The sequence below is a fragment of the Homo sapiens genome, chromosome 11, assembly GCF_000001405.40.
Source record: "Homo sapiens chromosome 11, GRCh38.p14 Primary Assembly".
NCBI classification, from domain to species: Eukaryota; Metazoa; Chordata; class Mammalia; order Primates; family Hominidae; genus Homo; species Homo sapiens.
Window position 1 is genome coordinate 99,460,880 of NC_000011.10, and position 27,557 is coordinate 99,488,436.

The 27,557-nt window shown below is 32.9% G+C and overlaps 1 protein-coding gene across 11 annotated transcripts in view, besides 1 other annotated feature; it reads left to right on the top strand.

The window, feature by feature from the left end:
* Nucleotides 1-27,557, top strand: part of CNTN5 (contactin 5) — a 1,337,937-nt gene that overhangs the window by 439,931 nt on the left and 870,449 nt on the right. The window lies entirely within an intron of this gene.
* Nucleotides 20,422-20,591: an enhancer, noted in NCBI's record as "experimental_22279 CRE fragment used in MPRA reporter constructs". NCBI's record gives its function as "activates a minimal promoter by MPRAs in K562 erythroleukemia cells, with activity observed for the non-introgressed 11:99352117 variant allele {active_cell/tissue: K562}" and the evidence as "EXISTENCE:reporter gene assay evidence [ECO:0000049][PMID:34662402]".

Sequence of the window (27,557 nt, forward strand, 5' to 3'; positions counted from 1 at the left end):
AGTCTTCATTCAAGAAAAAATCTTTAAAATGCCCATATGAAGATTTGTTGAAAATTATTCATTATAACAAGTTTATTTGTAAAGGCCAAAAATTGGAAAACACCTAAAAGCTCATCAACAGGTGAATGGGTAAATAAATTGTATCCACACAACAGAATATTACTCAGCAATAAAGTTGATGCCCTCAAAACATATATGAATCTTAATAATTATCTGAGTAAAATAAACCAAGAAAAAGTGGACATATTGTTGGCTTTATTTATAAAAATTATTTTAAAATGTAGATGATATATAGTAACAGAAAGCAGATCAGTAGTTGACTGGGATTCGGGGAAGGTATAAGTAGGTAGAAACAGAAGGGCAAATTCTAGGCAATTGTCAAGGTGTATGTTTTTGATGTGCTACTGACATTTTGGCAGGATAATTCTTTCTTATGCAGGTAAGAACTGCCGTAGGTTTGTCGTTTCTGGTTTTCTCCTACTAAACATCAATGTTGTCATTCACTTATAACTAAAATAAATATTTTTCTCTATATTTTCAAATGCCCCAAGAGATCGCCTATGAAGACCAACAAGGATGTGAGGAGAAAGTACAGCCTAATTCACCTAAAAAAAATCTGTAGAATACCCTTGGAATTCCTTGAAAAATTTGAAATGTTTTTTGCAAGAATTTGTTTAATAATTAGAAATAAACATTTACTAAGAAAGCATTGATATTGCTTAGTTCCTTGGGATGTTCAATATAGTAGTAAATTTCTGACTGGAGCTGAGCCTGTCAAAAGTTGTATTCTAGTATTCTAATCCTAGACGCAGCATTGTTTGATTAGCATTTTTTTTTCTGATTCCAGTTTCACAAAGTATAAACTCTTTTCCATGTCTGAATATTCTGCTAAAGTGCTAACACTTTCAAGAATGTGCTACCCTCTTTAAAATGTGCAACTTTTTTTTAAAATGTAGAATTTAAAATAGAATTGTGTTACAATATCAGATTATGTATTTATCATGATCATAAAGTAAATGTGTTTTCTTCAAAATTATTTTTTGTTTTGAGGCATTTTTAAATTGATGCCTAAAACTTCAAAGCATGTTCTATTTATGCTATTCAATACAATAACCCACTAGTGATTAGTAGCCATTGAGTACTGGAATAGTGGCTATTTTTACTGAGAACCTAAATATTTAGTTTCATTTAAATAACTCAGTGTGGTTTGTGGCTACCATATTATACAGCGCAGTTCTAGAGTGACTGGGAAGGTATAACATAACCATTGAGATTTACATGATCACTCTCTGTATTAATTCTACTAAACCACTGACTCTATTTTTAAAATACCCTAGACACATTGAAATTAGGGGAATTGATAAAAGTTTGTATTTTGTATTTTATTCAGGGAGAAAGAGAAAGAAACAAGAAACAATGGCAGGAAAAAATGTGTAGATTGTCCTTTTTCTTTCTTTTTTTTCTTTTTTTCTTTTCTTTTCTTTTTTTTTTTTTTTTACATTTTTCAACATACTCCACAAGTTGGCAAAAATTTCTAGAGAGACTTCTTCAATTGTTTAAGTGTCATGAATGAGCATTATATTGATGTGCCCTGGAAGAAATATTAGCTCAACAGGTGTTCACTACTGTAAGTTGATTCTTAACTAGTCCCAACCAGTATGGTGATTAATAATGTATAAATATTTGAAGTTAATTCATCTTTTTGAAAAACAAGACCGTAATAATGCCTTTGTCACTCAGCAAAGACTGGAGTTAACATCCTCCAAAAGAGTCCGGTAGTACTGAATACGCCCGCTCCCTTGCTAACACCTGAAACCTATACTGTAATTGTCACTTACTGGCTGCTACCTCATTGGTGAATTACTGATTTGTAGATTAGGACTGCAGGAGTAGGGGAGGAAATTTCAACTAGAAAATGCAATAGCTTCGGCACGACGGCTCATGCCTGTAATCCCTGTACTTTGTGACGCTGAGGCAGGTGGATCATTTGAGGTTAGGAGTTCGAGACCAGCCGGATAAACACGGTGAAACCCCGTCTCTACTAAAAATACAAAAACAAAACAAAACAAACAAAAAAAATTAGCCGGGTGCGGTGGCACATGCCTGTAGTCCCAGCTACTTGGAAGGCTGAGGCAGGAGAATTGCTTGAACACAGGAGGCGGAGGTTGCAGTGAGCAGATATCACGCCACTGCACTCCAGCCTGGGCTAGAGAGCAAGACTCCATCTCAAAATAAATAAATAAATAAATAAATAAATAAATAAATAAAAGTAAAAAAGTCCAGGCGCGGTGACTCATGCCTGTAATCCCAGCACTTTGGGAGGCCGAGGCGGGTAGATCACGAGGTCAGGAGATCGAGACCATCCTGGCTAACACGGTGAAACCCCATCTCTACTAAAAATACAAAAAATTAGCTGGGCGTGGTGGCGGGCGCCTGTAGTCCCAGCTACTCGGGAGGCTGAGGCGGGAGAATGGCGTGAACCCGGGAGGCGGAGCTTACAGTGAGCCGAGATCGCGCCACTGCACTCCAACCTGGGCAACAGAGCGAGACTCTGTCTCAAAAAGAAAAAAAAAAAAAAAACAATAGAAGAATGAATGAAAAATCCAACTTTCAGTGAAGAATTGAACTCATTATACTTAAAAAATGTCTGCTATTCCAAGCTAGTACTGTATAATGTCTATACTGTATAATGTCTGCTATTCCAAGCTAGTACTGTAGCTATGTAATGAGCATAGAGAATCTGAGACAGAATCAGTCATTTATAGCTATAAAGAAGGAAAAATAGAACCATTTAATATATTATAGATTCCTTTGCATGATTTGTAATATTTGTTTGACTAAAAGTACCTATGGCATCTGAAATGAAAAATGCAAACTTATTTCTGATACTACAAATTAATTAAATTCTGTAAATAAGTATGTATGTGTAAAGACAGAATAATCAAGGAAATAATTTTATGCTTCCTCTATTCAGAAGCTCGTCTTATATAGTGAAATATTTTAAATAGCAGTTTTTAAACTAAAAGAAGATTATTGATTTTTCTGAATATAAAAATGATCCTTCTCACTAAAATGTGATCAAATAAAAAGTAAAACTATACCCTATACTGCAAAATTATAATATTATGATGATCATAGTGAATTTTTGAAGCTCTCTTTACTAATTTCTTTAACTGGGTTTGTAATTTTCCTCCATATTATAGCAGACAGATGCAGCTGTTGAAAGAAGACTTGGAGAACACATTGTGGCTTATCCAGCATAAGTGTGCTAAGTGTTCCTTGGACTCTATTAGTGATTTCCATATTCAGCATGTAACTTTGGGGAGTATCTTATGCTGCCTTTGAACGTAATCACAATTTTTTGAAGTGTGCTCAATTTATAAAATTAAACAGCTGTTCCATCCAGGGGAATTGGGGATAAATGAGCACATGTTATCATTGGAAGTGGATGATATAGCCCTAGATATCATTTTCCTAAAGAGATGCAAACTTTCATTTTAAATCATGAATCCAGCAATCAAACAATTTCATTGATGATCTAGTTTGAAGGTATTCAGTATGAACATATTTGTGAAAGCTGGCAAATAGTTTTAAATATATTTATAGGTGATGAGTATAAAAAAAGAAGATGTCTAAGTTTCTAAGTATTATGGCTATGACTTCTTGGTCCCTTGAAATATAACAGGAAAAGGTGTCTGTTTCTTTATGTTATAAGCATTGAAATTGAATTACATACTCAGAGTATTTTGGAATCTTGACCAAAGTTATTTATGCAGTTTTACTATTGGGAACCTACAGATTCAATTGGTTGAAGTTGAAACTGTATACATTTGGATTAATTTGAGGTTGTTGGATTAGAATATGCAGTGTTTTTCCCCCAAACAAAACAAATAATAACCTATAGGAAATATGTTATAATATGTATATATTTACATAAAAATAGTTTAATCAATTGTTACCACTGGAGATTGGTAACCAACTCATTTCACCTCAAAATTCACAACTTGTGGGTAACAACTGTAGTTAGTTTACTATTTTATTATCATAAATTAGCATTTACAGAGCATTTTGCTTTATTTTTTATTTGGAATATTTTGGAATAAACACAGGGCCATATGCAAGATAACCAAATATTCTGCTAGGAGTTATTTCTAAAAGTTAATGATTCAGCTTGAGAACGGAAATCATGCAGAAAAATGTATGCAAGAGAAAGTTAATAGTGTATGTTAGGAAGACAAATAATGCTTTTGAGTAAAGTAGAGTAGTCCCTTCTAAAAGTAGTAAATGTGTGGGTCAGGTTGGAAACTGGCTAATAAATACTTCACCTATTTGTTTCCCTTCTCATTACTGATCTGTGTTCTTCAGTTGATTTAGCCCCCCACAGCTTCCTTTCGTTGCTCCAACACTGTGGTCAACTTTCATTGTCTTTTACTGGGCTTAAATTGTTTTTATTTAAAGCAACAAATATTTTTCTAAACCCTATGAAATAATACAGTGATATCAAACACTTCTAGCCCTTGCACTTTCTATGCATTATACATATATTTAATGTTTACATATTAAGTAAAAATATATTTAATCTAGTTTCATTATAGTTTCTATAATGTATTATAACATCATTTCTAGAATTTAGACAATATGTGTTTTCCATAGGCCTCATTCTCTTGTGTTCAGTGCTACACACCAGCTTCTAGAATATTACTTGGTATATAGTAGGAAATCAGTATATATATTTATTAAATTAATGAATAAATTAATTTTTTTTAGATAAGCTGTATTGGTCTGTTCTTAGATAGCTAAAAAGAAATACCTGAGATGGGGTAATTTATAAAGAAAAGAGGTTTAGTTGGCTTATGGTGCCGCAGGCTGCACAGGAAGCATGGCTGAGGAGGCCTCTGGAGACTTAAAATTGTGGTGGAAGGCAAAGGGGGAAGCAGGCATGTCTTACGTGGCCGGAACAGGAGGAAGAGAGAGAAGGGGAAGGTGCCACACACCTTTTTTTTTTTTTTTTTTTTCCTTTGAGACGGAGTCTCGCTCTGTCGCCCAGGCTGGAGTGCAGTGGTGCGATCTCGGCTCACTGCAAGCTCCGCCTCCTGGGTTCACGCCATTCTCCTGCCTCAGCCTCCCGAGTAGCTGGGACTACAGGTGTCCGCCACCATGCCCTGCTCAATTTTTTGTATTTTTAGTAGAGGTGGGGTTTCACCGTGTTAGCCAGGATGGCCTCGATCTCCTGACCTCGTGATCCACCCGCCTTGGCCTCCCAAAGTGCTGGGATTACAGGCTTGAGCCACTGTGCCCGGCTGATGTCACTTTTAAACAACCATATCACATGAGAACTCACTCACTTCTACGAGAACAGCAAGGGGGAAATCTTTCCTCATGACCCAATCAATCACCTCTTACCAGTCCCCTCTTCCAACATTGGGTATTACAATTCGACATGAGATTTGGGAGGGGACACAAATCCAAACCATATCATGTACCATTCCTAAAACCTTCTGGGATTTTTATTATTCTAAAAAATTCACTTTACCTTCTCGATATCTTTGATATTCTTTTTTCAGAACCCCATGTTGTGTTTTACTTTGATGTGGTCAATCTTTCTTTGATTTTTATATGGTTTCTTATATAGTTTCCTGATAAAGACTGCAAAGAGAGGCAAAACTTTTTATAAATTTTTTATTAGAGTAGGCAAGGCTACTGTGTAATAACACATCTCTAAGTCTTAAACATTAAAATGAAATTTAATTGTTTTAATTAATGAAATATTAGACTGCTGTAGTCTAACTCAAGAGGGGATTAGGGGACTTTAGGGCTCTGTTCCAGTCATTAGGAGACTTAAGCTCCCCCTATCTATGACACTGAAACCTTCAGCACATCACCTCCAAAGCCACTACTGAGCGGGAAGAGAGGGTTTGGCTGATCACATAAGGACATTTTTATTTTGATTTTTTTTTAAATACGGATTTCATATTTAGACAGAGAAGTGACATGTACATAATTGCCAGCACATTCTATTGGCCGGAAGTCAATCACCTAGCCTTACTCAACTGCAAGGAGAAATGGGAGATACAGATTTCCTATGTGCCTAGAGAAAAATGAATGTATTTACTGAATGCATAGTGTTATCTCTGCCACATCATGGATATCTGACAATGTCTTTATTCTTTCCTCACTTGAGTAATACTTTGACTATAGAATTTTAGTTCAGAAATCATTTTTCCACAGAATTTTGAAGATAATTTCATTTTCTCTGAAGAGACACAGTGTTTTTTTATGTTTAAAACATAAAAACAAACTGATATAAAACAAAACTTTAATATAGTTATATCCAAATGATTTTTGTTCTATATTTGCGCTTTTTTGGGTCTTTCTTGGGAACTTTTACCTGTTAAAATGTGATGAAAATGCTATCCTGCAGTTTTTACTATTTACTTTATAATTTTCCCCTTATATTTAGGACTTTCATTCATTTGGAATTTACCCTTATACATGGTGTAAGATTAGAATCCAATTTAACTTTTCTCCTATGGTGCTAGTTACATGAGTAACGTCTTCTAAACAACTTTCTTTTTTTGTTTAATCACTAATTTGTCATACCGCTTTATCATGAATGTCTGATCCTTGTATAAATCGTCTTCTCATCTGCTCGGTTAACTCATCCTTCAATTTTATTGATCTCTTTGTTCTTGCCCCAATATTAGTCTTTTTCAAAATTTTAATTACTCTAGCTTTGTTACACATCCTTTTACTAAAAAAGAGAGCCCCACAACACTATCTTAACTTTATGCTTTTTCTGCAGGATTGGGCAGGCTCTTGATCCTTTCATTTATAATACTTAACTAAAGTTAATTATTTTCTCAATAGTCACCAGTTTATATTTAAATGTTGCTGTTTCTTTCTTGCTCAAATTATCTGATTACCTTTCTTTTTATTTAACTATATTAATGTGCTTATATCTTACCATATTTTCATTTCTTCTCAAGCTGTTTCCTTCTTCTAGCTTTTTGCTGATATTTTTAGGTGGTATTGAGATTGGGAAACATAAGATTCTAAAATTTCCTCTTCATTCCTGTTATATATATTTCAGAGATCATATTTACCCCTTGAGTCTTCAAAATAATGTGCCATGCATGCTCTTAGTGTTGAGATATCTTAAATAATTATTTTATTATTAATTTTATCTTTTAGCATTTATTATTAGGTGAGCTCTATCTGAATCCAGCTGTAGATACATAAAAGAAGAGAGTGAATTGTCTTTAGCTGTGTTTATTATGCATGTTGGGTGAACTCCCTCAGATATACTGCTGACAAAAACGAATATGCACAGCTATTAATTCCCTTTCTAGTGTCTGATAAGTATACATGTCTCCATTCTGTGAGTACTTAGACTCATGTAGGATCATCTTCTGTCCCATATCCTAATATCTGGTACTCTGAACCAATGGAGTATATAGCATAGTATCAACACAAACTATGTGCTACCACCTTTCCTGTCTCTATCAGAACCAAGAACATTGCTTATGAGGACTTAAATCGGAGAATGTAATGAATTACTCCTAAATTTTCTCTCACCCCCAACAATCCCTGTTGTACTTCAACAATGTGAACTCTAGCTGCCGCCAACAGCCTTACATACACTGGTCTATATGATGGATGGTTAGGCAATGTAGCCTGCAGAGTCATTGCAATGTTTGCTTAGCTTCTTTCCACTCAAATTCTTTCCATCTTCCAAGTTATATGTTAAGATTAACATATAAGTGTGAGTTTTCACCTTTTTTTTTTTTGGAATTTTCATGGATGTTTTCAGTGGAGATTTCAAAGAGGCTGCATTGATGTTTATTGTTAGAAACTTTTTTTTTTTTTTTTTCTGAGAAGGAGTTTCCCTCTTGTTGCCCAGGCTGGAGTGCAATGTTGCGATCTTGGCTCACTGCAACCTCCATCTCCCAGGTTCAAGCGATTCTCCTGTCTCAGGAAACTTTTTCATATAAATGCTTTCTACTAGTTTTAGGAATAGATTTATACATGTTAATAGCATCTATTTGTGAAACTAGGATTAACGGAAAAAGAAATATGTGAAATTCAAAATTACCTGTGCTTATTTTTGATATTTACTCCTTGGCCTTCACAGCATTAATTCCATGCTATTTACATAAGATTTAGAAAGTTTAAAATTAGCTTTTATTTTGCTAGTAAGATACTGTAGTACTGGTAAAAGAAAAGAGCTGTAAGTTAAATGTAGTATTTGTTTTAAATTCCCATATTCCCATTGTAAGATAGAAATGACCATATTTAAAATCTTAGTATTATCAATAAGCAATTCATTATGTTCAAAATAGCGAATTTCTATGGAGTCAATGAATACGAAATTTGACATATTCCCAATTAATTGAGCAATTAATAATTGCATGATTAGAGACTTAGCTTTCATCCATTCATGGTATAAACTATTCTACAGTTTTATTTCTATCCTGTTTCAAAATTATCTATTTCTTACAGTCCGTAGAGATTGTATATAAAACTACTACAAATATATCAGTATTTATTATTTTAAAAGTTGAATTATTCATGGTTCTCTTTCTTGTTTTATTTTTAATTGTTCATTATTTCTAAATTCCCACTTAACTTACTGTATAATATTGATCTATGTTGGGATAATATTTTATAGCTCTGATTTTCCCATTCCCCACAAAGTAGTTTAAACAGAGTATGCACGTTGTATGCATACTATTGAGTTTAAACTCAATAATAATTTATTTCAATGAGGATAAATAAATGGAAAGAAATTAAATTCCTGATGCTTTTCTTTGTAGTGCTAGTTTTGTCTGTCTATGGTTTTATTTATAATACTGATAAATTTTTAAATTTTTTTTTGGCTTTTGATTTGGAGTTGCACCTAAATATCTATGTACCTTTAAGCAAATCTCAAAATATTTATGAAATTCAATTACTCTTACTGGAAGTGATAAGGTTAAATAAGCTAATTTCTAGTCTCTAAAGTTTCTCCTACTTTTCTTTATGAATAATAATCATCATCATAAGAACTACAATTTAATGAGTGTCAGTCATATACTAGGCATTAGTACTTAAAACAGACCTATTCATTTAGTAGAAGAAGAAACTGAGGTTCAAAGAGTTAGAGCAGCCTGTCCAAGACAGCACATCCATGAGGTGGTGAATTCAGAATTGTAACCTGGGCAGGCTACGTGATAGCTGCTTCAAGTGTTCTCTGTCAGTTCGTTAGAGTTTGTGAGGCCATATTCTCTCATTTCATTCTTGCTTTAGTTATGAATCAGTTATTTCATTGATATTTCAATTTAGTTTATGTCCTCCACTGAATCTTTGCCAAATTCTTTTATTCCTCCAATCATACCTGCCCAAGTCTGAGTCCTACTCTCATAAAATCAGAATGATAGAAGCCTCAGGTCTCAACATTTAAACATATTTAACTGTATTTTCATACTTATACTCTTTCTTGTTCCTACACAAATAAAAATAATGTTCATTTTCTTTCCAAAGTGATTATTTTGTATTCTAATAATTCTAGTAATTCATCCAAGTTCATTTATATATTTACTTTGTAATGAAGTGAGAGAATAAAAATGAAATAAGTCTTCAATTTAGTTCATTTTCTTCCCCTTTCTCTACACTGGTTCTATACTGGTTCATTTTTCAAGTAGAAAATCTGAAAATAATTTTTATTTATTACCTGATATAATATGTATTTGATGATATGTACCTTATTTCCTCATCCACAAATAATACACACCTAACTTTTTTGCCCCAAAGAGGCATCAAACTTGATTTACAAAAAAGGAAATGTTCCAATTATGAACATTATTCTGAAGAGGATACCCAATATATAAGCTCAGTCTTGGAAATGTGCCTAAATTTTTAATTTACAATTAAAATATAGAAGGAAAATCACAAATTTATTTTTTTTTATCATTATAGCTATATTCTGATTAAGTTTGCAGTTGGATGCTTTGACATACTTTCACAAGTATAGATTCATGGCAGAATGTGAAGTAAGTAAAAAGTTAGGTAGATCTTATTTATTCCTGTAAGTCTTCATTAGTCAAGGACTGCTGTCATCCCCAAAATAACTGTCATTGACACTTTCAGGTCTGGGTTCAAAATAATATCTGAACTGATTCTGAACCTGAGGCAGTCAAGCTGAAATTGCAGAGAGCACCTAGTCCCATTTCACAAACTTTCCAGATATATTTTTGGAATCACAAGTACATTTTATATTTAAAGTAATGTTGCTAAAAAAAAAAACAAATTTTCTAATAAACATTTTCCTTAAACAGCAATAAAAGGTAACACAATAATAACTCACAATATTTTATACCCCCATAAAGTAGCCATCTGCTTCCAGAATATAAAATATCTTCCAAACCCAATCAAACAATATAAGTAATCTTTATATCTAGAACTTGGAATCACAGGTATGTTTTAATATTAGAAATGAAGTCAGTTTTTACTCTCATGTACTTTCTGGATCATATTTTCACCTCCCACTTTTGCTTGGCCTGATACTACCTGTCCTTAAGGTTTCTCCAGGAAGCTCCTTTCCTGGTCTAAATTTGTCATTCCATCAGTGAAGAGACAGGTTAGCTAGCGATTAAGAGCACAGATTATTCTTAACCCCTACTTTGCAATTTAAAAGCTGTGCCATCTTGAGAAAGTTGTGAAACATCTCTGTACCTCACTCCTTCATCTGTAAATTGGAGATGAGATACTTACTTCATGTGTTTTTTTTTTCCTGAGGATTATACTATTTAAGTCATGAAAAGCATGTGGAAACAGTGGCTGACATATAGTAAGTACCCAAGATGGGCCATGCATTGGTAATAAGTTTTGTGTTCTTCAATAGCATTTTGTACATTCCCTATCATGATAGTAACCACTCTGTAATTATGCTTCTTAGTTGTCCCTTTTCCCAGAAAGATTATAATGTCCAATCACTCAGAAATTATATCTCTGTTTGTCACAGTACCTCAATACCTATCATGATGCCTAAGACATAGTAAACACTTAATCTGCATTTATTGAATGAATTAAGTTTCTATATGTCACAGGGACCAAGATACATATTTTATGTATATTATCTGCTTAAAATTTAATCATAACCAAGGAATAAAATAGTAGTATATAGGTAAGGAAACTGAACCTCAGTTTTCATGGTTATCAGACAAACCCCAAGTTAATCAACCTACACATCAAAGTTTCTCCGCTACTTCCCGATGATTTCCCCTGCAAGTCTCCATCGAGGCACAAAGTCAAAGTAGTCAAAAGAAAAGTAAAATTTGGAAATTAAGTCTGTAGTATGAGTCTGTGAATTTGCTAAAATTATGGCTGGCTCATCATTTTCCAGGAATGAAGATTGCTTTGAAAATGCTGAAATAATCACCCCTAGATTCTGATTTTGTACATGAGCAGTTTATCATAATGACACCTCCTTTATCTCATCTTTGTACCTTCTTTTCTTGGCATTTACTTCATTTACTGCAAATTTTGTGTAGTCTGTTTCACATCATTGTAAACTTGCCTCAAATCACCTGATGCTATGTTTCTATGATTATGCCAAGTTTTGCACTATGCTTAGTTCATTCTTTTGTAATTAGTTTTTCTGTCTGTTTGTTCAACACTTACTGTTGTGCGTGAATACTTCCTGTGAAGTTTTCTTTGTCAGTGATCAAGTTTACATTGAAAATTTGCAGCCAAGCGACATTGATGTATTGGAAATGGAAACATACATGCATTAGCATATTTCTTTCCTTCTTTCTTTTTTTTCTTTTCTTGAGATGGAGTCTCACTCGGTTGCCCAGGCTGAAGTGCAGTGGTATGATCTCAGCCCACTGCAACCTCTACCTCCTGAGTTCAAGCGATTCTTATTCCTCACCCTCCCCAGGTGCACACCACATGTGCACACATTACAAAACAATTATGAACGATAACAAACATTTTGGTTCAAGTTCATCTCTAGAAAATCATTTTCTATGGCACCTTATCCTTCTGTGATTGTTTCATCAAATTGAGCTTCTTGATAGCTTAAATCTTATGAGTTAATCATTTTGTTCCCTCTCTGACAGCGACCAACAAATATGTCTGACACCTACTATAAATATTCGAATTAATTAATGCTGCCAGAAGAAGTGATTCTGACACATCTCTTTGCTTAGAGTATACATATTTATTTTGTCTGTTCTATAAACATTCCACTGTAAAAAGAAAGGGCTAGTTCTTATACTAGAATGAATTATTTTTCTCATGTAGACAAATTATTTTTACTATTTCTTATTTATACTTGCTTTGCTTTTTAGCAACAACCTTGGAAAATCTTTTGATACTTGAAATGAAGGCTATTAGGATGGATTTTCTTTCCTTGGTATCTGTAGACTAATTTTGATTTTCACTTTTAAACATATATCTACTTGTCAAAGCTTCTAAACACAAGTAAAACATATAATAATAATGCTAGAATTAAAATATAGCTTAAAGCATTATATTCCTTTTGCAAATACTACAGAAGTAATTTATAACCCTTTGAGATCAGAGTTTGCAAATTTTGGCTTTCTCATATAACAAGAATAATTTGCATTTGAAATATAGTGTATGTTTAAATTCTCTTCTATGGGAGTTAGATGTTGAAATCTTTACTGAAGTGATTTTTTTTTTCCTGCGAACACTTACAAGATTCCTGTTCTCAACTTAAAGATTGAGATTTATGTGTCCAACACTTTAAATTTTTTTTTAAATTTTTACACATTTCTCAGTGAAACCCACTTGTTGTCTTTGACTTAGAGACTCTATAATTAAAGTAAAAGCACATTTCAATTTAAACTCTAATTCACAGATAGTTTCTTAGTTAGTCTTTATTATATCAAATAATTGCAGCAACATTTAAAACTATTATATTTAAAATATAATATATATGAAACTGCTAAAGTAAACATTTACATTCTAGAATTCTTTATAAACCATAGACAGTAAATATATTTGAAATAATCAGCTTGCCACACTGGCTAGAGTGTCAAAGTAGCCATAGTGCTACTGGTTTTTAAGTCCACTGCTGAGTTTGGCCAGGGCTACTACTTTTTACATAAAATGGCTTTAAAAAACTACTAAGAATACTTGTTTACATGGTGAGTAGTAATATACTCTTTATTGCACCAAAACAATTTTCTTAAATGGGAGTACTTGCTTACATTGTGAACTGAAAAATATCTCCAGTCTATAATATGCCTGATTCCAAGTAATTCAAGTGTAAGATTCTAATTTATATATAAAAAATACTGTATTGTAATAAGAAGTTCTAGGGATTTTTTAATAATTACATAATATTTTGGATATTTCTTTGTTGATTTTGATATTTATTTTGGATTATGATCTGCTGGAGCTCAAAATTTTCCTAAAACCATCAAAAAAATACCCATCCTCTGCGTCTTCTTCCCCACTGATTTGAAATCCTAACTTTACATTTTAAAGTCTCTTTCATATAGAATTTGTTTACTGAGCTTTCTATCATCTGTCATAATTCTGTATGCCCTTGTTCACATATTATACCATTAATTATTATTACCATTATCATTGAAATTACATAGCATATTTAAATTCTAATAAAAAAAGCCCATTTCGTTGTCTTTTTAAAATTTGACAATTTATTTTATTTATTTTTGCAGATGAAACAGAATAATCAAGATTGAAGGAAAAATCAATTTTTGTTTTTACCCAAAAGGTGTCTCTATAATTTAATTTATGGAGAACACCCAACTTTGCAGTATTTAATCTTTCAGGGACATATTTTTTATTCAATTTTTAATGTCACTATATTTTTTGAGCGTTTTCAAATAAATCTTAAAAGTTTCTAATTAAATCTATTTTTAGGTTTCCACATTTGGTTTTCACCATTAATACACTCTTTCTAGCACCCCCTGCCATGGCTAGCTAATGTTTCCGGAATAAAACAATATTTGTTTGATAACTCATTAATTCTTATTATTTCTAGTAGTTTTTTCTCTTAGATGTCTACTATCATTTGAATGTTCCTCCAAAACTCACGTTGAAATGTAACTGTCATTGTAACAGTTTTAAGAGGTGGGTCTTATAAGAAGTGACTAGACCATGTAAGATCCACCCTCATGAATGTGGGATTAGACCATGTAAGATCCACCCTCATGAATGTGGGATTAGACCATGTAAGATCCACCCTCATGAATGTGGGATTAGACCATGTAAGATCCACCCTCATGAATGTGGGATTAGACCATGTAAGATCCACCCTCCCTCTTTACTGTGGGAGTGAATTAATTATCACTATAGTGGGTTCCTTATAAGATGGATGAGTTTGGCACAATTTCGTCTCCATGTCTCATGGCTTGCCTGCCATCTGCCCTGTCATAACACAGCACAAAGGCCCACATCAGATGCCAGAACTATGCTCTTGAATATCCCAGCCTCTAGAACTGTACAAAATAAATCTTTATTCTTTAAAAATTACTCAGTTCCAGGTATTCTGTTACAGTAGCAGAAAATGAAATAGGAAAACTACCAACATAGGCCATCATATTATCTGAAAACAGTCATTTATTTATTCAATAAATAGCTGCAGAGTACTTGTTATCTCTGTTATATAGCTTACACTGTATTATACTTTTGTCCTCTTTCTAAAATTATTTCCTTCTCTTATCTTATTCTCTGATTTAAACTTCCTGGAAATATTAATAATTTTGATTATGCCATAAACCTTGTCTTTTTTAAGCCTGTAATGGAAATACCTCTAGTATGACATCATTAAATATTATATTGGTTTTTATTTGTAAATAAATGATTTTATTGCATTTAAGTTTCTAATTCTAATAATTTTTAAAATAATAAATGGAAGAGTTTTGTCTAATGCTTTTTTTTTCGTTTTTGGATGGTTTCTATTTCCCTCTTTAACATGACAAAATGATGCTTGAAATTAAGTTCCCAATGTTTAAATCATATTTGATGGCTGAAACAAATTCTTAGTCTTGGAATCTCTCTCCCCTTCTTTTCCTCTTTTCCTTCACGTGGAACTTTATTCTGCCACCAGGCTTCATCTGATCTTTGCTTAATGCAAATTCCTGTGAGCATCTGGCCTAACATATCATTGACAAACAGCCTCTAATATTTCTTCATAATATTTTATTCTCTTGCTCTCTTTCTCTTTTTTCCCCCAAAGAAAGGATGGAATTGAGTGAATTTGTTGTCATTCATGTCCTGGCACAATTCCCCAAATTTATTTTATATTTATTTTTCTTTGATTTATTTTTAAATATTGCTATGACATTAAAATTATCACAAGATAAGATAATTATCACTTGAGGCTAAAAATCATATATGTGTTTATCAATCTATTAATATTTATCTACTTTCTCATTTTATTACAATTTAGAGCATTCTTTGGCTCTGTTTCTCATTTTAACATCTTACTAAATTTCAAAATTTCACACTTTCATTACTTAGAATTTTCTTTAATGGAAATACATTTCTATTCCTAATGTAATAAAATATAATTCACCATATGGAATATGTTAAGCAATGATCTTTTAAAAAATTACTTCATGAGTTATGATGCATATCACGTAGATTTGTGATAGGAAATTATAGTGCACAAAATATGATACGTACTTTGTGTTACCTAAACATTCTGGTCAACTTCTTATAGAACTTAGTCTTTAAAGCTAATTGGCATATGTAGCAATAAGCATTCATAATTATGAACTGATTTCTTCAATGAGTGGTCAGATTGGGGCCCAAGTTTCCCAGTTTATTTTGTTTGTTCACTGCTGCTATAGCTCAAATTATTTCCTTCTTAGTAGATTCTGAATTCATTCTGATTAAAATCTCTGACATATTAAGGATTTTAGCAGCTGAAGTATGATAGCTCATGTTTAATCAACTGATCCTTTCAAAGGGTTGTAGATATCCTCAACCAACAAGTGAATGGCTAATTACAATCCGAACTTTTATTGAGTTTCTATTGTTTTGTTATCTCTTCCCGTTTCCTAAGTGAGATACATATATAGATGCCACCCTATGCTTGTGTTTACCTTTACTTATTTTTGTGGTTTTGCTTTTTTCTTACCATCTCTCCAGTCAGACTTTCTTTAAAAAAAATTTATCCATTTTTATTTCTCTCTTAGCATCATTTTCATAGATCTAATTACTTTGCATGCACTATATATTGAATTTATTTAATTTGAAAAAATATTTAGTTAATATCCTTAAATGAATATATAATTAAGATATAAATTGAAGAAGCATACAGTTTTAATATTTGATAGTTGTTTTGTTTAGGAAAAGATTATTAATATTACACAATTGAGACTCTTTTAAAAAATAATTTAGTACCCCTACATAAGATGCAGTTCTCTGCATTTTCTGTATAGTTATTTTCTAATTTTCACAAAGAAAATTTTGTTTTTGTAGGGATCTTGTATTCTGTGATGAATCTAGTATTTTCTTCATTGTATAACTAAACTCTGAGTCTCTTTCCATTTATTTCATTATTTTATTACATGAACACTTTTATTTCAATATTTTTCTTCTGGCTTTCACCATATTTTTAATTATTCTAACCCTAAATAGTAATAAAGTTGATAAAATTTCACATATATAGAGACAGAAATGGTATATGCGTTTATAGACAAACATACATATAAAGGGAAAGAGAGAAACTTAGAAAACTATAGTTAGAAGTATACCAAAGCAAAATTTAACAAAAATAAAAATAATAACCCTTCAAGGAAGATCAGGGGCCGGGTGCAGTGGCTCACACCTGTAATCCTAGCTCTTTGGGAAGCCAAGGGAGGAGGATTGCCTGAGGCCAGGAATTCAAGACCAACCTGGCCAATATAGTGAGACCCCATCTCTAAAAAAAAAAAAAGGTAATTATTTCCTTTAAAAAAATAAAAAGAAGCTGAATATTTTATCTTACATAAAGTTGGAAATACTTTAAAATTGCTAAATATTGGAGGTACAATATAATTAGTAAGTGAAAAACTGAAAAAATCCTGCTGTTGTAGAATCAGAATGTGAATATTATAGAGACACATTGCAGAGGTTTAGTTGGAGATGATTTTTTTCTTTGCCTCAAGAAAAATTGTGAAGTTAAGTCTTTTTTAACTAATGAGTATTTCAAATATCTTTTCTTTATTTATTATCTATTGTGCTGTAACACATTTTCACAAACTTAGTGGCTTAAAACAATGCATATTTATTATCTCACAGATTATGTGGGTAGAGTCTGGGCATGGCTGGGCTGTGCCTTCCTCCAGTCTCTCACAAGACTGCAATGAAGGTGTCAGCTAAAACTGGGGTTTTATCTGAAGACTCAGTTGGAAAGGGCTCACTTTCAAGCTTACTTCCATGGCTGTTGGGAGGATTCAGTTTCTTTTGGGTTGCTGGACTGAGGGTCTTTGGCTGGGGGCCCACCCTCAGTTTCTTGCCATGTGGATCTCTCTACCTTGGTAACAGCAAAATAGAGTATCTACTAACAAAATGGGTTAAAATCTCTTTTAACCAATTCACAGAAGTAGGATCCTATTATGTCTGTTGTATTATTTTGCCTAGAAATAAGTTTCTAGGCCTACCCACACTCAAAGGATGGAGATTACAAAAGGGTGTGAGTATCAGGAGGAGGGGATCTTTGAGGGCCATCTTGGCATTGGCTACTACAATTCCTTTTCTCTTTCCCCCTCTCCAAATAGGCTCTTTCAACAATGTGGATATATGGATTTTTTTTTGAGATGGTTGTTAAACCAAGATAACATGTAAAATGCATGGTGAAGGTAGCCAAAATATTTTGAAAATTCAAAATCATTACTAACTTGTTTGAAAATAAACCATTTTAAGAATGCTACATGACTTCAGCTATAGAGTGATGTTTCCTACTTTTAAAAATATACATGTGCATTTTATTGATTCTATTTAATAGATATATTTCTATTACACAGAGCAAATGATTTAATCTATACATTAATGTCCATTTAACCTGAAAATATTTTGTAGCTAATGTTTTAGATTCTTTTTGGTTTGTTTTAAATTGTGTTTGGGATTTCTTTTAGCCCCTAAACACTAAATTGTTTGAATGAATATAGAAATAAAATAGACCCCATTCATCAAAATGAACACTAATGCAAATAGCATATATTAAAATGTAAAACAATGGATTAAAATTCATATGGCTTTTCTGGTTCTTGGTGGAAATAGAGCATAAAGAAATCAACTGGTCATCCTCTTCTAGTTTCATTAATTCTTATTTTTAAGAACTATTTGTTTGTTTAAGACTGTGAATATTGATAACACTGGAAACCAATAACTTTTAATCTATCAGGTTCAGAATGCCCTTCACACTTTTTTTTTTACTATTTTATAAGAAAATGTTATTTATTATGAAAGATAATTTAATTTAAATTTTACTGCTATCCATTTACTAGTTCTATATGCAGCATAAAAGTCATTTAATACAGTTCTGAAAAAAAGAAACCCTTTGACTGGTTTTACTTAATTCATGTCATTCTAGGTAATATAGAGCAGGGCTTTAAAACCCTTGTAAACACTGTAAATGCAGGAAACTAGATAATTTTTCTTGGGAACAAATTTTGAAGGTAGATGAAACTTAAATAATCTAATTATAAATAAGCAATGATCATACTTTTCTTACCTTTGCATTTTAAATCTAGAAATACATCATACCAAGCCATTTGGCATAAAGCTAAAATACCACTTTTAATGGGTTAAATGTTTTGAAATCTTCTCTTAAAGTTTTTAAGTGATGGAACAGGCTCCGGTTCTCTAAATATGTGTAATAATACTCTACTTAATTAAATTTAAAAAACAAAATTTTATTAATTTTCACCTCCAGCAACAGATGTATATGTTTTGAGGTAAAGAAAAAAAAACATTTTATAAATGGTCTGATGAAAATTTTAGTTGGCTGACACATTTAATTTTCACAGCTGTTTATTTTTTTTTGTCCAGTTTAGTTTATTTTTCTTATCAGAACTGGATAAAGACCTATTAGACCAAATTTATTCCCAATGGCATAAAAAGAAAGAAAAAAAGCTAAACCCTTTATTACAAGACAAAACAGTTTCATTGGCTAAAAGTAGAGATACAAAATATAGATAACAGATGGCATTTAAGGTTGTTGCTATTCAACTTTAATCAGATTTGTGATATCTTTGATGCTGGTTGTAAGTAAGCATGATTTTTTCTGGTACATATTAACTATATGATGGAGTGTTAGTTGTCTGTGGAAGTACACCTATTAATATAAAATATGCTCTACAACAAATTAAATACTTGTTCTCTCCTTTTATTATCTTCTCCATGCCTTTCCTATGCCAGTTTTGCTTCTTGAAATGATAAACTTTCTCTCCTGTGGAACTGCCAGTAAGTAGCCAACATTTGGTCAGGTAAAGAGTATAGGCTCTGGTGTCGGACAGCTGTTTCACTGGCTTTCAATGGCATCTTTGGCAGGATATTTGATCTCTGGGGACCTGTTTCCTTATCTGTAAAACTGGGACATCAGAATTATCAAATTCATAAGATTATTGTAAGGCTTAAATGACTAAATATCTGTAGAACATATGGAACAATGGCTGGAATAATTATGAACATCATATAAACATTTGCTATTAATTTTACCTGATTCTTGAATGTTTGCATATTCTTGAGATTCACTATATGTTTATTCTACAATCTTTGCTTTACAACCTGTTTCCTAACATCTAGAGTGTATCTATGTAACTTCTGTTACTATTGAAATTCATAACTTCTAATATGTATAGTCATTTTTTTTGTTTTGTTTTTTCTACCTGTGAACTAGCCCCTAGTGTCTATCCAACTCACATTAGGACCTGATATGTTACAGGCCATGAGGTATTTCTGTGGCTTACCTAACTAATGATCAACAGTCCTCATTCAACATCAGGGCATCTTTTACCCTACTAAGTTCTAAAAGAATGTTCTATGGAAAGAAGAGGATGGTTTTCGATTCAATGAGAATTCATTGGGGATATTGTGTATCTAAGATAACCACGAAATTCACTTGCATATGTCCTTGAAACTTTTGAGAAGAATGTGCACCTACTCTCACTCAGCTTACTGCAGTCTATAGTGATGAGACTGGGTTGAAAATTATGCCTATACCATCCTATATCTCAGTTCCACAGAGGATTGGCATTTAAAAAAAAAAGAATATTGCAAGGATTGTTTTAGTTCCTACTGGATATCTGCATTCAAAGGTTCTTGCCACTGGGTCTTCAGTAAGCAGTAATTCTAGTGCCTTTTTAAAATTTTCATCTTTGGAATATTACTTTTCTTTATCTCAGGATATTTTCTCACAATTATCTACATCATATCATGCTAATTAAAGCCTGACACCATTAATATCAAAATATTTGTCTTTTTAATATGTTCTTAAGCAACCAAATCTTACACAAAATATATTAGAGTGCTCTATTTTCTGAGCCTCTAATAATTTTGTTTTTGTTCTGTTTTTCTCCAATCATAGTCCTTTTCCCTTATTCACTGTTGTATCCCTAGCATCCTGCACTGGTGATCAGTAAAATACATTGACTTTTAATGAATATATTTGCTGATTATGTGAGAAATCTTTTAAAATACAAAGCTGATGCTGTTATTCCACTGAGTAAAATATTAAAACAACTTAATCACTCAGTATTACCTACAAATTCATTATCACGGAATAAAAGACTCTTCAGGAGTTGGCCCTGCTTATTGCTTCAAGCTCCCCCGTGATTTCCTTCTCTAAGTGTTGACAACCACCTTACTTCCCCACCTGAATGAATACATTTGGTTTTCAAGACTCAGTCTAAATACTTATCTTTTTAATTCCTCCAAGAGCTAATTATTTTCTCCCCTGTGCCAGAAGTATATTCTGTAGCTAAGCCTACCATAGTCAAGATTCTCTGTACTGCAATTATACTGTTATATTTCTATATCTCCTTGGAGGTGATTGTTTAGGGAAGAGATGATATTTTCTTAAATTTTGTGTAATAAGAACATAATCAGCACACAATAAATGTTATAAGAATGATTTAAGAATTAATGAATAAATTGATACCTTGCTAAGGTTCAACATCCCTAACATAATATTTTGAGTCTGAAATTCCCAGTGATTGCATATAAAGGAAAAGGTAAATTTTGAGGGTTTTAAGGGGAATAAAAATTCAATAAAAATGCATTATTAATCTCCCTATGAACTGAACATATGAATTAGTACGCTATACCTTTCCCTTTCAGATACTGAGCAAAGGGATGCAATGAAAGATGATTCCTATTAAGTATGTAACCAAACAAGTTAGGCAAAATGCTACTTTTAATAAAAATTATTATTTTCCCATAGACAAGATACACATTTTTGAAAGCTGCAAAGAACAGAAAGGTAATTCTACATTGCTTTAAATGATAAAGAAATTATAGTGCAAACTTTAGTGTTAGCTTCTCAACTAGTATCATTTTAGCATTTGTATCTATGTTGGATCTGTAACAGTTGAATAATAAGTTATATTTAAACTTAAATTTCAAAAACCCAGAAGAGTTACTTTTGTATGTAACTTGTGAATTTAGTCAGTTGCTTTTTGTTCTTAATGTTTTCAAATGTGAAATGTGACTTTTCAGTAAATGGAAATATTGCATTTACTTTTTAAATATTTAATAAAATCAATTGTTTTCTTGAAATAAAAACCGAAATCGCTTTTCAAAATAGGTCATAGACCTAAATGCAAAATCCCAAACTATAAAAATCCTAGAAGATAACGTAGGAGAAAACCTAGAAGAACTTGGGTATGGCACCAACTTATTTAGACAGAACACCAAAGGCATGTTCCATGAAAGAAATAATTAATACCCGGAACTTCACTAAAATTAAAATCTTTTACTCTGTGAAAGATAATGTCAAAAAATGAGAAGTCAAGACTGGGATTAAATATTTGCAAAAAAACACGTATGCTAAACGACTCCTATCCAAAATACAAAAATAACTCTTAAAACTCAAATACTGAGGCGGGTGGATCACTAGATCAAGAGACCGAGGCCATCTTGGCCAATATGGTTAAAGCCTGTCTCTACTAAAAATACAAAAATTAGCTGGGCGTGGGGTGGCCCGTGCCAGTAGTCCCAGCTACTGGGGAGGCTGAGGCAGGAGAATGGCGTGAACCCGGGAGGTGGAGCTTGCAGTGAGCCGAGATCGCGCCACTGCACTCCAGCCTGGCAACAGAGTGAGACTCCTTCTCAAAAAAAAAAAAAAAAAAAAAAAAAAAAGTTTTAGAACAGAAACAAAAGGAAGTAAAGTGCACTTGGAAGAGGGCCAAGCTGGCAACTTGAGAAATTCAAGCACACAGTTTGACCTTTGACTTGGGGTTTTATACATTGCCATTCTTCGTGCGCAGTGGCCTGCTAGTACTTGAGAGGGGTCTCATGCACAGTGTCAACAATGTGTTTACTGGAGTTGTGCGCATGCTCACTTGAGGCATTTTTCCCTTACCAGTTGAGTGCTCCTAGAAGAAGGTCCTATACCAGTTAAACTCCACGATTTTGTCTCTTAGTGCACATTCTTGAGCCCACTCACCCAACTCCGGAGATTTTATTGGGAAGCTGCTGCTCACCATTTTCAGGTGTTTGTATCTATTAGGAGCCTCCCTGGTGCCAGCTGTGACCAATTATTATTTTAGTGAGACAGCGTAGCAACCACCTGACCATCACCTGATGGTCTCCTGACACTTCTGGTTGGCCAGGGTTGTGGGGTTGCGGGGGTGTGCTCTAATGACATTTTCCACAGAAATAGAAAAAAAAGAAGCTAAAATTAGTATAGAAGCATAAAAGGTGACAAATAGTCAAAGCAAGAGTACCAAGAACATAAACTGGGCTAAGCACAGTCTCTTCAGTAAATGGTGCTAAAAGTAGATATCCATATGCAGAAGAATTAAACTAGATCCCTGCCTTCTCACCCTATACAAAAATTAACTCAAAATAAATAAAAGGCCTAAATATAAGACCCCAAACTGTAAAACTAGTAGAAGAAAACACACGTGAAATGCTTTAGGACATTAGTCTGAAAAAAGATTTGATGATAAGACCTCAAAGCACAGGCAACAAAAGCAAAAATAAACAAATGGGACTATATCTAACTAAAAAACGTCTACACAACAAAGGAAACGGTCAATAGAATGAAATAACAATGATCTGACGAGGATTAATACCCAGAATATACAAAGAACTCAAAAAGCTCAAAAGCAAAAAATAAAAACAAAAAAACACAATACAATTTAAAAAGTATGAGTTATCTGAATATACATTTCTTAAGATATACAAATGGCCAACAAATATATGAAAAAAAAGCTCAACAACACCAGTCATCAGGGAAATGCAAATCAAAACCACAATGAGGTATCATCTCACCCCTACTAGAATAGCATTTATCCAAAAGACAAAAAATAACAAACGCTGGTGAGGATGTGGAGAGAAGGAAACTCTCATACACTGTTGATGGGAATGTAAACTACTACAGCCACTACGGAGAATAGCATGAAAATTCCTCAGAAAAACTATAAACAGTGTTACCATTTGATCTAGCAATGCCACTACTGGGTATTTATTCAAAGGAAAGTAATCAGTACATCCAAAAGACATCTACAGCTCTATGTTTATTATGGTATTATTCACAACAACCCATTTATGTTCATTATTAGACAACCAAGGTGTCCAACAATGGATGAATGAATAAGGAAAATGTTGTGTATTACACCATAGAATACTAGTCAGCTACAAAAAAAAAAGGTGAAATAATCATTCTCTGTTACACGAATGGAACTGAAGACATTATGAAGAAATAAGCCTGGAACAGAAAGTTAAACACCACCTGTTCTCATTCACATTCATATGTGGAAGCAAAAACACATACAAACAACAACAACAAAACACTTTATCTCATAGAAGTAAAAAGTAGAACAGAGGATACTAGAGATTGGGAAGGGCCGGGGAGAGGGGAGCATTGGGAGAGATTTGTTAAAGGATACACAAGATATTTGTTACAGCTAGATAGGAGGAATAGGTTAGTGTCCTGTAGCTCTGTAGGATGACTATAGTTAACAATAATACATAGTTTCAAATAGCTAGAAGGAGGATATTGAATGCTCCCAACATAAAGAAATGGTAAATATTTGATGGATATGCTAATTATTCTGATCTGATCACTAGACATTACATTTATTTCAACATCGCCATTGACCCCATAAATATGTACATTATGAGTCAATGAAACATTTTTGAAAATTAAAAAAGCAAAAACCCCCCAAAATTGTTTAAAAAAAAAAGGGAAGTGATTTCCATGGATTAGTGGGGAGAGAGAGATAAATAGGCAGAGCACAAAGGATTTTAGGGGAATAGAACTATTCTATATGTTACTAAAGTGGTAACTATGTGTCATTATATATTTTTCAAAAGCCACAGAATGTACAATACTAAAAGTGAACTGTAATGTAAATAATGATCTTTGGACATAATGATTTGTCAGTATAGGCTCATCAATTGTAACATATGTACCATTGTGTTTTGGGATGTTGACAATACAGAAGGTTGTACATGTGTGAGGACAGGGGACATAAAGGAACTCTCTAAACTCTGTAATTAATTTTACTGTGAACCTAAAAATGCTCTAAAGTTTATTGATTAATAAAAGCATCCTGCGGAATAAAAATATATACTAGGATAAAATGAGATTTTCTCTGTTTAATCAGAATGATTTAAACTTGAAAATGCAAACAGACAAAAAAAACCCCTGAATTTCTGTCTTAATATTATTATGTCCAATTTATAGTTTGGACATCTTTACAACCATGAAATTTCTCACAGTATTCTTTATTTCCACTCTAAAATTACGGAGAGGTAATGAGTATAATACTCAATGTATTCATTCATAGTAGGCAATCAAGCAATTGGTTTTCATTTACTTGGTTTGGAAAAGCTATAAAAACCTTTCTTTGTAATCATGGACTAATAATTACAAAAATTGTTTTGTCTCTGTTTCTATACAATACGCTTACAATTAATATGAATCTTCTGGGCTCAGTTATCCTGCTGTTGAATTCTACAATTTTTGCCTATTTTCTCTTTCCCAGAGAGTTTATTTTTACTGTATAATACGTTGAGGAAGTATTTTAGTTCATTCTTATAATTTATTTGGTCTTTTCTGCTTTTATGAGTACAATTCAGTTAATAGTATTTGTTTAAAATGCCTGCTTTAATCTTTTTCAGATATGTCTAGACCAAGTTGATGTCTTTCATAGAGCATATCAACTTTTAATAAACTAATTTAGATACTCTGACTTGCTGCCATGATTATATAATAATATTTCCATTATGCATTATACTTTTGTCTATGCTTATGTCTCTACCTGGAAAAGTAAGCTTTGAAAAGCTCATACTGTGTATTGTTTATTCCCTAAATCTTTGTATCCAAGCATAGTGCATAACAAATAATGGGTTCCCAGAAATTTGTTTAGATAATAGTCAGTATATTATTCCATTTTAGAACAGTTAAATTTGTTTAGATAATAGTCAGTATATTATTCCATTTTAGAACAATTTATTTAATGTAAATTAGTGTGAGTAAATGATGGTTTAATATGAATTAAAGTGATGATTATTTTTCAGTTAACTGTAAAATTGAAATATAAAACACAAAAGAACTCAGTGAAAATAAAACCTAAAAATGTAGTTTAGATTTTCAAGAGTTTTAGAAACTATTTCTTTCAAATGCAAAAACTGGACTGTTGATTTTTGCATTGTTGTTGTTGTCATCTTAACTTCAAAAGCATTACTTTGATCAATATTGGCTTTTGAAACAGAGTGCAGAGGTTAACCATAAGTTATAAAGTGGGAAAGGAATGATGACATAGATCTATTTTCTTACTACACAAAAGAGATTAGAAAAATTTTTTATTGGCTATAAAATGATGGGAAATAAGGCTTATAGACAGTGAGCTATATTATACAATCCCCAAATAAGGTAATTTAAGGGGACATAGGAACTGCATCTGTCTTTTCCTCTGGTATTTTTGGAAGAGTCAGCCTGAAAGAACACACTGCAACAACATGGTTGGCCATATTAGAGTAAAAGTGCCAAGTAAATAGATGTTGGCAGAGAGAAGGTCGAGAAAGTACCTAAGTTCTACATAGGTTCTGACAGATCACAGAAGACATTTAGTTTGGTTCTGCATGTTAAAGTGGAGAACTGAGTGTTACCATCACGTGTCCACCACGTTTTAAGGTGAAGTGACTATACAGCAAGGCTGACACATTAATTAAAGGGTAGGATGTAAGTGTGAACCTGAAGACCATCAGAAGAAGGATCCAGTATGACAATTTATTCAACAAAGGAAACTGATGAATTCCTAGGAACCATGCTTTTTTTCTGGCTTCTGCACTGTGATTACTTATGTAATAAAGCAGGCCACTGCAGTGAAATTGTCACAAATAAGATGCTTCTTGTCTGATGCCAAGATCTTATCAGTGCATAAATGTTGGATGAGAGTAGGGATGAGGCAAATGCAAATATTCACTTATAACCTGGGAAGCCAGACATCCCTGTAGAAGAATTTACAAAATCAAACGTAATAGTCTTTGATGAAAACATCCTCATGAAGAGTTCTTCTTATTTCCTTATGTTGTGTTTCATTTCAGTGTGCCTAATACACTTTCCTTCTAGCAGACATCACTTGGATCATCTCCATTCTTCACATAAACAAAACCTAAAAACATGAAATATCAAGAATGTCTTAATTTCTTTTCAACCAGGAGACTCCTTTAATCCTATGAAAATTTGCCTATTGCTTCTCCAAACACCAGCTCCTTATAACAAAATATATAAATTAAGGCAACTTTTAATGAGTTAAGAATAAGTTCTCTCCCAGTCACCTAAATGAGTTTGTACGTGCCACATACTTGCATAGCCAAGAGGGCTTACTCAAATGTTATGAAAGAGTGGGAGAAGATTTATCCCACAGTAAATATAACTAATTATAAGTTAATTATATTTGATCTCTAGGATCATTGTATTTAATCCTACAATAATAAAGATATTTTGCATTAGCTGCTATCATGAACAATTTCCAAATGCCAGAGGGATTAATCAAATGAAAGATTATTTCTTATTTATTTATTTTTTCTTACTTTCCCATCTGATGCTAGTGAAGAATCTCTTCTAAGAATCTCCAAGAAGTTTTTTTTTTTTTTTTTTTTTCCTCTTTTTTGACATGGAGTCTCGCTCTGTCGTCCAGGCTGGAGTGCAGTGGCGCGATCTCGGCTCACTGGAACCTCCATCTCCTGGGTTCAAGCGATTTTCCTGCCTCAGCCTCCTGAGTAGCTGCAACTATAGGCATGCACCACCATGGCCGGCTAATTTTTGTATTTTTAGTAGAGACGGGGTTTCACCATGTTGGTCAGGCTGGTCTCGAACTCCTGACCTCGTGATCTGCCTGTCTTGGCCTCCCAAAGTG